The sequence below is a fragment of the Homo sapiens genome, chromosome 4 (genome assembly GCF_000001405.40).
Source record: "Homo sapiens chromosome 4, GRCh38.p14 Primary Assembly".
Taxonomy (NCBI): domain Eukaryota; kingdom Metazoa; phylum Chordata; class Mammalia; order Primates; family Hominidae; genus Homo; species Homo sapiens.
The window spans coordinates 139,617,513-139,630,831 of NC_000004.12; the positions used below are offsets into that span (position 1 = coordinate 139,617,513).

General features: G+C 41.8%; 1 long non-coding RNA gene across 1 annotated transcript; it reads right to left on the reverse strand.

The window, feature by feature from the left end:
- Window positions 1–623: 623 nt before the first annotated feature.
- QKILA (QKI interacting lncRNA) lies at window positions 624–5,742 on the reverse strand. The gene is made up of 2 exons (NR_187398.1): window positions 5,589–5,742; window positions 624–1,589 (listed from the first exon to the last, which is right to left on the reverse strand). It is a non-coding gene; the product is annotated as a QKI interacting lncRNA (long non-coding RNA).
- Window positions 5,743–13,319: the final 7,577 nt, after the last annotated feature.

Here is a 13,319-nt window from a genome sequence, read left to right on the forward strand (position 1 = left end):
CCCCGTCTCTACTGAAAATACAAAAAATTAGCCAGGCGTGGTGGCAGGCGCTTGTAATCCCAGCTACTCGGGAGGCTGAAGCAGGAGAATCACTTGAACTCAGGAGGCAAAGGTTGCAGTGAGCCGAGATCGCACCATCGCATTCCAGCCTGGGCAACAAGAGTGAAACACCATCTCAAAAATAAATAAATAAATAAAATCTAAGGTTGTATAAATGGAAAAGGATGAGTGTTGTCTATTTCATGCTAAAAGCACGAGGAGGTCTAGCTTTTCTAGTTAATCTGATGGAGATAGGTAGCCCAGAACCATACAATTTGGCCATCTTGTGGATAACATTTATCATTTCACTCATTTCACTTAGGGTTGTATAGTCTTCCAATGTCTGCAATTCCCTTAATGGCCATTAGAGTCGCGGACGAGAAAAAAACTCTTCAGAAAACGGTGTGAATAATGGGAGCAAGAGAAGAAGTTCCTGGTTATAGCCCACTCATATATTTTTGAAATATAGGTCAGATCTAGAGGAAATGAAAGAAACTTCCTGTTGAATTTTCATTTATAGTATGTGTCTGGAAATCTCTAAATGTAATTTCTTGGTGTAAAATAAACTGCAGAAATCTGGGATGTGTCAGTCTGCTTTATGTTTATTGAAGCCATTCTATTTGAAGCTGAAATGTTGTAAAATTATATAGTGGAGTGAACAGCTACAATTAGTTTAACAGACACGACCGTATTCCTCAATTGAAAGGCTGTCAAGACCTTAACAATCAGACACAAAAAAGATCCAGGAATCCCATAAATCCTGTCTCCTAGGAAGGATAACATTTCCCTTTGATTGCTACACATCCCTTTGCATGTGTTATTACCTTCTACCCTGTTTTTTGTGATTAACAAAAAGCACTGTCCAAAGAGAAACAGTCACAAATAATGTTTTAAAAGATTTTAACAGGTTAGGACAACCTGGAAGTTTCAGTGACCCCAACCAAGCACTAAAAATAAAAACTGGTTTGGGTAAAACTATGAAAACCTCACCACTAGTGTGGCAAACATCACCGTTTACCTTATCTTCAGTCTACTTTGATTTTGGATTTTTCTTCTAAACTGAGATGAGGACCCTATTGTTAATATTTGTTAAAGTAATGCCACTTGATAGATGCTACTTGATGTCACTTGTAGCAGACACTGCCGACTGCCTCTGCAACCGATGGTGGGAGCCCCAATTTTGTGATTGTGTTTATGCTCCTTCACATGTCCATATGCTCTTTGAAGGTGACCCTGATTCCCATCCAGGGGTAAATCATGATTTTGCTGAGCCACTCATGGCAATTCCATTTTCCTTTTTAGTGATTGGTTTAAGGAGGGGCTCTGATCTAATAAGCCATGTGTGAAGGTCTCCTGGGAGGCTTCTGGAGAAGTCTTCTCTTCTTTTGGGGTATGTCGTTATATCTGCATACAATGCCTGGAGGAGTGTAGCCGTCTTGTGACTCTGGCACAAAGCTGACACATTGAGGAATGCAAAGCAGAGAGATGGAATGGCTGGGTCCTTCATGATGTCATTAAAGCATCAAACCTTGCAGCAACCTACATTGAGACTTTGTAAAAATGTGAGATAATTAATTTTTCTTAATGTGTAAGTTAGGATTTTCTGTTACTTGCTTCCCTAGACACCCTAACTAATACTGCCAGAAGAAAAATATCTATATTAAGGCTCTTGGGGTTAGAGACTTCTGCTTCACAGGCTGAGCTAAGACTCGGCCTCTAGAAGACTAAAAAGGCAGCATACTCTTGAGCAAAGAGCCCTGGACTTAGGGTTAGAAAAACTAGCTCCGAATCACACCTGCCATTTATTATTTGTGTGATCTCAGGCAGATAATTTAATCTGTTTGAACCAGCTGGGTGTGGTGGCTCACACCTATAATCCCAGCACTTTGGGAGGCCGAGGTAGGTGGATCACCTGAGGTCAGGAGTTCGAGACCAGCCTGACCAATCTGGTGAATCCACATCTCTACTAAAAGTACAAATAATAATAATAATAATAATAATAATAATGATAATAATAATTTAGTCGAATGTGGTGGCTCACGGCTGTAATCCCAGCTACTTGGGAGGTTGACCCAGGAGAACAGCTTGAACCAGAGAGGCGGAGGTTGCGGTGAGCCAAGATCGTGCCATTGCACTCCATCCTGGGCAACAAGAGCGAAACTCTGCCTCAAAAAAAGAAAAAAAAATCTGTCTGAACCTCAGATTAACAATGTTAACTCACAGTCTGGCAGTGAAGGTTCAGTGAAGTAGTGTGTATGAAAGGCCACCAGGTGGAGTCTCCTTGAGGGCAAAGTTTGTGTTGTGCTCATCTTTGTATCCTTAACAGACACTAGCTAGCATATAACCACAAATACTTTTACAGCACCTACTCTGTGCCAGTATTTTCCACATTGTAAGCATTTATCATGTTTTGTTTTGTTTTGTTTTTGAGATGGAGTCTCGCTCTGTTGCCCAGGCTGGGCATGATCTTGGCTCACTGCAAACTCTGCCTCCTGGGTTCAAGCCATTCTTGTGCCTCAGCCTCCTGAGTAGCTGGGATTACAGGCATGCACCACCACACTCGGCTAATTTTTGTATTTTTAGTAGAGGCGGGGTTTCACCATGTTGGCCAGGCTGGTCTCAGACTCCTGACCTCAAGTGATCTGCCCGCCTCAGCCTCCCAAAGTGCTGGGATTACAGGCGCGAGGCACTGCACTTAGCTTATTATGTATTTTAAAGTATTTTTCTATGTATTAACTCATTTAAATCTCAGAACAACACTGTATTAATTATTTCCCCTCTTTACAGATGAAGAAAGGCTCAGAGAGATTAAGTAATTTTCCATGGTCACCCAGACAGGAAATAGTAGAGCCAAAATTTGAATTCAGGATCTTTCAGAGTCTAGGGTCTCATTTACAATATATGCTACATAGTGGGGGCTCAGTATTTGTTAAATGGATGAATGGTGCCCACTAGCAGTTCAATTAATGTTTATTGGGAAAATGGGACACAGTAGTTGAATAACAATTTTTTTTTCTTAAGAAGAAATACATAGTGATTTTTTTTTTTTCTGTTTGGAAATAAAGAGGTTTTTCCAAGTTCAAGAGGTTTCCATCTGGGGGGCAATTTTCATGGTAAAGAGAGTGGCCGCCAAGGCAGCCATCTGAGGGATTAGGCCTGAATACAGTTACTGTTCTCTCTCAGGTCCAGAGAGTCTCTGAGATGAATAATGTTTCTAGTTTCTCTATTTCACCCTCTCCAAAATGGCCTCTAAGAGCACATGCTGGGACTCTCCTAGCTACTAGAACATAATAGCCACACACCCTGACTAGTCCTCAGCTAAATGTTGGTTGGGAAGACGAGTTTGCCTCCTGCTTTGCATGTCCTGTTTGCTGTTTGCTGTGGTGTTGTTGTCAGCATCAGCACTGCTCTGCTCAGCACACTACCACCCCCATCCACCTCGTTAAAAGCAACAAACAGTCCTAAGGAAAGAACTCTAACAAGAAAATCAAACACACAAATAATGAAAATAATAAATCCCACCCTAAGACAGATCATTGACTCATAGCTCAGTGGATATGCTCTTTCTCCTAGGACAATTAATAGCAGGGCCTTCCTCAACCTCAAGAGATCAAGCTGACTGCCCAATGGGAAAGAGTTGGTTTGGGAGGAAGTCTTCTTCAGAATGACAAGGGACATCTTAGAAGGAGGCCACCTCCTCTTCTTGCAAGCCACACATTTAGTTTTTTTCAGTGATCCTATCGCCTCTGGAGTATATGGCCTTCTTCCTTTCCTCTCCAAGCCTCCTTTCCCTTCCTCCATACTTCACTCCCCCCAGTCCCCATCTTCCTGGGGAAGTCACAATTTCCATGATTTGTCTAGAGTTATTATAGTATGCAAAAAGCCAACCCTAGAATTTGTCTGTGCAGAAATATTGCTTTCAAACCAGTCCACGTTCCACAACTCATATACCTCATAAATACAAATGAAGCAGGAAGTTTTGTGGTAATTTAGTAGAACAAAAGAACTAGTAAACATTAAACTCTAAACCAGCACTGTTCAATAGAAATACAACGCAAGCCACAAAGCAAGTCACTAATTAATATGTAATTAAAAATTTTCTGGTAACCACATTAAAAAGTAGAAAGAAACAAGTGGAATTAACTCTAGCAATATATTTTATTTAATCTGATATATTTAAAAGATCATTTCAACAGAGTCAACATAAAAATTATTAATGAAATATTTTATATATATATTTTAATAGTACATCTTTGAAATCAAGTTTTACACTTAAATCTCAATTCAGACTAGCCACATTTCAAGTACTCAGTTAACCACATGTGGCTAGTGGCTACCATATTGGACAGCACAGCTCTATACTACTCATACCTTTTCACATATTGTTCTTAATTTTTCTGAACAGTCTAATGTATTTTTGCATGAATCTAACCAGTGTGTTTAATCTCTATTGGATTCTTTTCCCATAAATTATTATATTAAAATATATGTCAGTTATATTTATACATTGCATGCTTGTGTATATTTAAATATATATTAAAATACCTCTGTGATTTGTATGGTCCATTTACATAGGCTGTCATTTATGAAATTGATCTAATTATCTTCTGTTGCATTGCTATAATGATTGTCCATTTACCTATTGGGCAACTGGGTAATTTTCTTTCTTTTTTTGGTGGTGGGGACACAGTCTTGCTATGTTGCCCAGGCTGGAGTGCAATGGTGCAATCTCAGCTCACTGCAACCTCCACCTCCTGGGTTCAAGTAATTGTCCTGCCTCAGCCTCCTGAGTAGCTGGGATTACAGGTGTGCACTGCCACACCTGGCTAATTTTTGTATTTTTAGTAGAGACAGGGTTTCACCATCTTGGCCAGGCTGGTCTTGAACTCCTGACCTCGTGATCCACCCACCTCAGCCTCCCAAAGTGCTGGGTTTACAGGCATGAGCCCCCGCGCCTGACCAAGCATCTGGGTAGTTTTCCATTGTTCTCTGTTATAAGTATTATTGCTATGAATGCCTTTTTAGAGTGGAGTTAATTTTTTTCTCTTTCTATCTTTCTCTCCTTTCCTCCTTTCCTATTCTACTGTTTCTTTTAGGATTACAGAAAGTGAGGTTGAGAAATCTTCCTTCCTCAGTTGGTCCAGGAAGGGAGTTTGTGTCCATATCTTTTCCACTATATAAGCCCTACCTAAAAACATCTACATTTTCTGTGACAAATTGAAGTTGGTTACCACGGCTGGACCCAAAGTAGTTAATCCATGAATGTGTAGAGAAAGAACAAAGGATGTCAATGGGGAAGCTTGAAAGTGTTAAGCAAACACCTTCTTTCATAAAGGCTTTTGCAGGAGAAAAGAAAATCCCCCTTCATTTTGAAGTCTAAGGAAGAGGATGTAGTAGCAAAATAGAAAACACATGCATGAATATGGATATAGTGTTCCACACAGCCCCAGTGACTCAAAGACAACAATGAAAAGATGATTATGGCTCCTATTACAAAGGTGATGAGCTGGATGTAATTAGGGATTAAATCTGAAATTCCCAGTACATACCCAGCGACTCAGGAACTTGACAAGCTGCCATCTCTCTGAGATCCCTGGAGGAGCAGTGTGGCCAGCTTACTGGGGGAGAGGCGTCTGGGGGACCTGCCCATAGCAAGCCACTCATCGGAGTGCTAATGCGCAGAGGGTCCTCTATGAGTGGACTGGAGTGGTGGTGTCTGCTCACTTTCCCTTTATTGTGTGTGCATCAGCTGGCATCCTGGCAGGGTGGTGACTTGTCAGGAAGAAGACAAGTTGCTAGGTAACAAGGGAGGATGAGGGAAGCCCCCTCCGTCTTCCTCAGAGAGAGAATACGAAGGGGCTCCAAGAAGGATTTGGATGTTAAAAAACAAAAACAAGTGCTACCCTAAGGAATAAAAGGGGACCTTTTTTTTTTTTTTTTTTTTTTTTGGAACAGGCTGGTTGGTAGAGGGAAGAGAATTGCTGTGAGTTAGAGGTGGAAGGGGAGGAAAGCAAAAGAAGGCATATGGCCAGAAAGCAAAAGAGGGAAAAGTATGAAAAAGAGAGGAGGAAGACTGTGGGAAAGAAAATTTCTTCACCAGCTATGGAAATGGCCCCACTGCAGGATGGTGTACTAGAGTCTCCATTAACTAAAGGGAATTCAGGGAGTTAAGATTGTCTGTGCAAAAAACATGCTAACGTCATTCTAAAGGTGTGGTTTCTAGACCAGCCCCAATTCATCTGGAAACTTGTTGAAAGTGTCATTCTGAAGCCCCATCCCAGGCCTCCTGCTTCAGAAACGTGTTTGTTTGTTTGTTTTTTGAGACAGAGTCTTGCTCTGTGGCCCAGGCTGGTAACCACATTGCAGTGGTGCGATCTTGGCTCACTGCAACCTCTGCCTCCTGGATTCAAGTGATTCTTCTGCCTTAGCCTCCAGAGTAGCTGGGATTACAGGTGCGTGCCACCATGCCGGCTAATTTTCATATTTTTAATTGAGATGGGGTCGTACCATGTTGGCCAGACTGGTTTCAAACTCCTGACCTCAAGTGATCCGCCTGCCTCGGCCTCCCAAAGTGCTGGGATTACAGGTGTGAGCCACCACGTCCATCCTCAGAAATGTGTTTTAACTAGCCCTCCAGGTTATGTAAAAACATGCTTTTTGAAATTTGAGGACCAATGCTACAAAGAAATGAGACAGATTTTGGAGGTGTAAGGAGGGGGACATCAAAGCAAAATTTTCTAATTAGTATTAGAAAAAAAATTACTTGCCTGGAAAAGTTAAACACGCAAGGAAGTTTATCCGAAGTTATTGCAACAGGAGAGAGGGACTAGAACTCAGTGTGAACTCAATGCTGCTGATGCAGAGGGTGCAAAGTTTTTAAAGGCTTTTAAAGGCTAGTGAAACATGCCAGAGGATGTTGTGAAGAGGTCGTAGGCCATTTGTGTTTGCTAATAAACTTCTATCTTTTGACAAGGGATGGTTTTATGACTTGGAGGAAGGTGTCCTGCTGAAGTTAGACTCCCACAAAAACTCTCCACAAAGACTGGGAGACAGGGGTGCCATCTCCTTTGATGATTACATTTCAAAGGGAGGGCTCCCAGGTCCTTGAGAAAGACATTCCTGGATTGTAAAACTGGCAGGAGGCTTTTGAAGAGATTTACATACATCTCAAAGGGGCAGAGAAAAAATGTACAATGACAAGAAATGCTCTAAAAAAAAAAGGGAGGTTAGGAAGAATCCTGCCTAAAGTTCAGTCAAGCTGAGGGAGCATGAAGGCCCTCTTGGTCGGGGGACAAGGGGACCCTTGGCATAGTTAAGCAAATGTTGTCCTCTCTTTGCAAGAATCCTCCCGCTTCTTGTAATCTAAATCCAGCACCTCACTGCATCTGACATAACTATACTGGAGGTGACAAGGATGAATGACACCTTATTCCAGAAGGAGATTTCTTCAGGGTGACAGAGAGGAGGGGGAAGGAGGGAGTGGTAGGAGTGGAGAAAACCAGTGAGTGTAGAACCTTCTCCCTCTCAGCTGCTGCTGGTTTCATTTCCCAAATGGGAAAACAGAGCAGGATATGCAGACAAGGAGGGCAGCTTGGGTTTGACTTGCTCGAGTCTCTTGAAAGTTTTTCTGAAAAGCTGATAACATTTTCTTGGGACACAGACAACTACAATTAAGATGAAAAGCCCGTCACTGCCCTGGCCAGCTTAAGCCCAATCTGTTGTGTTGCATGAACAGTTGTAACCCCCGCATGGCCCTGCTCCTGAGGGATTTGGCCCAGATGAATTGCCCTCAAACAGTAGGACTTTGGCCTTACTTGAAGGCTTCATTTTTCCAACTGCAGAGCTGTTGGGGGCATGGCCACCATTGCATTTGATATAAGAATTCCTGCTAGAAGAATTCCTGCTCTTTCCATATCTGTTGTCTGCCATGGTTGTGCCTCTTCCACATAGTTGGTGACTGAGTATTCACCACTGATCAGGGTTGAGTATTCCAAAGGACAAACAGGCATTTGCTTAGTGATCTTTTGGATCACCTGCCCCCCACTTTTGGGGGGCAGGAGGAGACTTTTTCTTGGAATGGTAAGGAGGTACCTGTTCCAGAAAACCCAGCCAAGGGGGTTGGCATGGGGCCATTGGCTAATGTGCTGTGAGGCTGTGCAGCTCCTGCGGCCCAGTCCTGGTACCACACACACTTCCAGCACCTCTGCTTAGCCGACCTGCCTCCCGTCCAGCACAGGGGTGAGGTTACCACGGCTACAGGGCTCTGATGCCTAAAATTGGCTTGTCTGAGTGCCAATATCTGCTGCAGCCCATCAGGTAGGTATATGAGATGCTACTGAGTCAACCCAATGGTGATATTTAATAAATAAAAAAGCTATGAAAATGGCCATCATTATCACTTTATTTTGTAATCATTTGCTTATGTGTTTCCCTAGATTATGGGTTTCTCATAGGAGAGCTGAAGTCTACTCAATGAATGTCTGTGTGGTATATGAAAAAATGGTCACCATCACTAATCTTCAAGGAAATGCAAATCAAAACCAAAATGAGATATTACTCACTCCAGTTAAAGTGGCTATTATCAAAAAGACAAAATATAACAGAGCTGGTGAGGATGTGGAGAAAGGGGAACACTCCTTGTACACTGTTGGTGAGAATGTGAATTAGTACAACCACTATGGAGAACAGTATGGAGATTCCTCAAAACACTGAAAATAGAACTACCAGATGATCCAGCAATCCCACTGCTGGGTATATACCCAAAAGAAAGGAAATCAGTATATTGAAGAGATAGCTGCACTCCCCTGTTTATTGCACCACTATTCACAATAGACAGGATATGAAATCAACCTAAGTGTACATCAATGGATAAATGGATAAAGAAAACGTGATATAGATACACAATGGAATATTATTCAGCCATAAAAAGAATGAGATCCTGCCATTTGCAGCACCATGGATGAGCTTGGAGCACATTATAAGTAAAATAAGCCAGGCACAGAAAGATAAATATTGCATGCTCTTAGTCACTTATGGGAGCTTAAAAAGTTGATCTTAAGGAGGTGGAGAGAAGAATTATAATTACTAGAGTCTGAGAAGGGTACGGGGCTGATGGGAATGAAGAGAGTTTGGTAGCTTTGTTAATGGCTACAGTTAGGCCAGGCGCAGTGGCTCATGCCTGTGATCCTATCACTTTGGGAGGCTGAGGCTAGAGGAGTGCTTAAGTTCAGGAGTTTGAGACCAGCCTGGGCAATGCAGTGAGACTCTGTCTCTATTAAAAAACAAAGGCCCCAAAATATGGTTAGATAGGATAAGTTCTAGTTGGCTGGGTGCCATGGCTCATGCCTGTAATCCCAGCACTTTGGGAGGCTGAGGTGGGCAGATCACCTGAGGTCAGGAGTTCGAGTCCAGCCTGGCCAACATGGTAAAACCCCATGTCTACCAAAAATCCAAAAATTTAGCTGGGGGTGGTGGTGCACACCTGTAATCCCAGCTACTTGGGAGGCTGAGGCAGGAGAATGGCTGGAACCTGGGAGGTGGAGGTTGCAGTGAGCCAAGATCACGCCACTGCACTCCAGCCTGGGTGACAGAGTGAGACTCTGTCTCAAAAAAAAAAAAGAGTAAGCTCTAGCTTTGGATAGCAAAGTAGGGTGACTGTGGTTACCAATAATTTATTGTATATTTCAAAATAACGAGAAGAGAGAATTTGAAATGTTCTCCATACAAAGAAATGCTAAGTGTTTGAGGTGATGGATATTCCAGTTAGCCTGATGTAATCGTTACACATTGTAAGTATGTATCAAAATATGACATGTACTCCATAAATATGTACAATTTTGTCTCAATAAAAAACTTCTACAAATGTTTAAAAAAAATGCTTGTGTCAATATATGAGCAAAAGAATTAATGAAATGCCCCAGAATGCTTTTTTTTTTTTAGGAGTACACCTAAAAATATTACTAAGCTTGACACAAAAAGCTGTGCCTCCTTCATTGCACTTAGGAGTTGGAGAATCACTGCTGGAAGAACTATCATAAAGTGGACAATCTTAGTAATACGTAAGGGTATTAATTTAGTAATAAGTTAAATTAACCAGAGAACATATTCTAGTACATGGTAACACTTTTTGGTTGAACTTCTAACCGACGAATACAGGACAAAAGCTCATTTGTGACAAATATTTGCAAAATGGCCAAACCAACATTTTAGGGTGTGAATTAGAGTTAAAAGATTAATTCAATTGCACTATAAATAATTCACCAAAGGGGCTATTTAAAGAGGGCTTACTGTGGGCTTGGCACGCACCTGGACAGACACAGAAATGCTAAGACCACGTTGGCCTCCCACAGGCTTCTGCAAGCAGGATGGCTTCATGATGACCAAGAGCCCAAGAAGCCTGAAATTGGCCACACGAAAATAACGTTTCGAGGGCATACAGTTTTAAAATGTCCATTTAAAAGACACTATTTTTTAAATTAAAACGAAACAAAAACAACATTAAATTATTCCCATTTTAAACTGTTTGCCTTGTAGAATAAAATGATTTTCCTTATGATATAAACTCTGAACACATCAAAGCCAAATAATAATCTGAAGAAACTGGTTTCAGCCATAAGAAGAAAAGGCTGGAAACAAACCAAGCTACATCCCTCCTAAGTGTCTTTATTCCAGCTAATTCTGAGGAGCAATCGGGATGCTCTTGAAAGCATTTGCATTGCAAAGTAGGCTGGAAATTGGCCTTGTTTAAACAAGCACTCCCTGTAAGTGCTGCCCACCCTTACCCCCGCTTGGCAGCAGCAACCTGTCCATATGAGAAGCAGCCACGTGAGCCATTGCTGCTGAAAAGAAACCTTTGAGCTGCTCGACTGTTTAACTAATTAATGCCTTGCTCCCCTAAGGTTAGAAAGAAAAGGAGGAGGAAGAATTTGTGGGTGATACACCACTTTGGGTCCATAATATACTTTCAAAGACGAATGCAAGGTGTACTCACTGGGTACTGTTCAAATCTCTTGTGGAATCTTCACTAATCCCTGGCGTTCGGCGGATCACAGCGAGGCCTCTGGCTGCAGAGCCGATCTCAATGGGTCGATAGCAACAGGAAAGACTCTAAAGCTTCTTTTGATCCTAGCATAAATCAGAAGAAAAAAAAATCCACGAGTCCCACCACGGAACATTAGCCGTCTAAGCAGGGATATTTTAAAACTAAGCAACCTCTGAGGCTGACCAGCAGCCAAGAAGCCCAGGGAGTGGAGGACAGCAAATAGGGATGGGGAGGGAGGGTGAGGCCGGTGGGAGCCGGTGTCCTGTGCTGTGACAGATTGACATGTGTCACATACTCCCCTTCTCCCTTTCTCTCTCAAGTTATGCCATTAGAGCCAGACCTACCCAAAATTGTGAAGAAAAGTACAAAGTACAAGTTCCCTCCTTTATTATTATCATTATATTTTTTTTACTGCTCTTTTTTATTTTTATTTTATTTTATTATTATTATACTTTAAGTTTTAGGGTACATGTGCACAATGTGCAGGTTAGTTACATATGTATACATGTGCCATGCTGGTGTGCTGCACCCATTAACTCGTCATTTAGCATTAGGTATATCTCCTAAAGCTATCCCTCCCCCCTCCTCCTCCTTTATTATTACAGTTGACCCCTGCACTGTACAGTTCAACACGGGTTTGAACTTCAAGGGTCCACTTATACTTGGATTTTTTTTTTCAACCAAAGCTAATCGATAATACAGTATTCCCAGGATGCAAAACCTGAGGACTGGCTTTTCACATGGGTTCTGTAGGACTTGAGTATGGACTTGAGTATGTTCGGATTTTGATATCTGTGGGGGTCCTGGAACCAATACCCTGTATATAACCAAGGATGACTGTAGGTTTGTTTGTTTGTTTGTTTGTTTTTCTTAACCATCCTATGTTAGTCTACTCAGGCTGCCATAACAAAATACCACAGACTGGGTGGCTTAAATAGCAGAACTTTATTTTCTCACAGTTCTGGAGGCTGGAAATCCAGGGTCAAGGTGCCAGCAGGCCTCTCTTCCTGGCTTGCGGCTAGCTGCCTTCTTGCCATGTCCTCACATGGCCTTTCCTTTTGGTGTCTCTTCCTCTTCTTATAAAGACACCAGTCCTATTGGAGGAGGGCCCTCCTCTTCTGGCCTTATTTAATCTCAAGTGATCCTCGAAGCTTCTTTAAGGAAATCACTTCCTAAAAGGCCTTAACTCCAAACACAGTCACAGTGGTGATTAGGGCTTCAACATAGGGTTTTTGGGAAGGACACAGTCTAGTCCATAGCATACCTCCCTGCTTTTCTTTCCATGTTTGCACGCCTGTCCCTTTTACTTGTCTCTCCAGTTACACTAAGCTTAACTCAGGAAATGGTCTGACATGGCCCAATGCACTTGAGGAATGGAGAGCTGGATGCTGGAAGGGACCCTTTATTAGGATCTTCTCTAGGAGACAGGATGAGTGTGAAAAAACCAGACTTCAGAGGAGAGTGTGGATCATGCCATGGAGTGTTATGGCTGAAACTAAGTGGTTACTATGCTGTCTTTCTCCTTTTCACACTCAACTTCTAGGAAAACAAAAGCCATGCTGATTTCTCCATTTTCTCACTCCCATTCATTCTCCAACCTAGCCTGGCTTCCATGATGATTCTGAAACATTTTTCAATGGAATGGCTAAAATCTGCCTAGTTAAGTATCTCCTTGTGTTACACCCTATGCACACTTCTTTCATTTATTTAAGTATGCATTCAACTGAGCATTGCATGTAGCCACAGCCCAGTTTCTTCAAGTTTGCCATGTCTGAGGACTTGTAGACCAATGGATCTTCAGTTTTTGGATCATCTTTTAACTAGACTAGGTTGTGGGATTGTATGTAATATTTCTCTCCTTTTATACTTGAATTACAAAAGTGCTTTTCAGATTTCCGACACTGTCACCTACATGATGTCATTTTGTCTTGAGTAACAGCAACATTATGAAGTTCTTTATCAAAATAATTCTATGATTATTGCAATTATGCGTTTCTGAGAAGGAGCAGAATTCATCATAAAGACTGATGACTCTTTTCTTTGGGAAATACCTTGAAAAGACTTTTAAAAATAAGAATGAGATGCCACAGGGGCAGGGATTGTGAAAAGAGGACTGCATGCTGCATGTACATTCACTGTACATGAATTTAAGAGTATTTCCCTATAGGCTTGCAAGAGGGGGCCAGAGGATCATATATATTATAGGAACACCAGGTTTGATTTCCCATTGTGCAGTAAT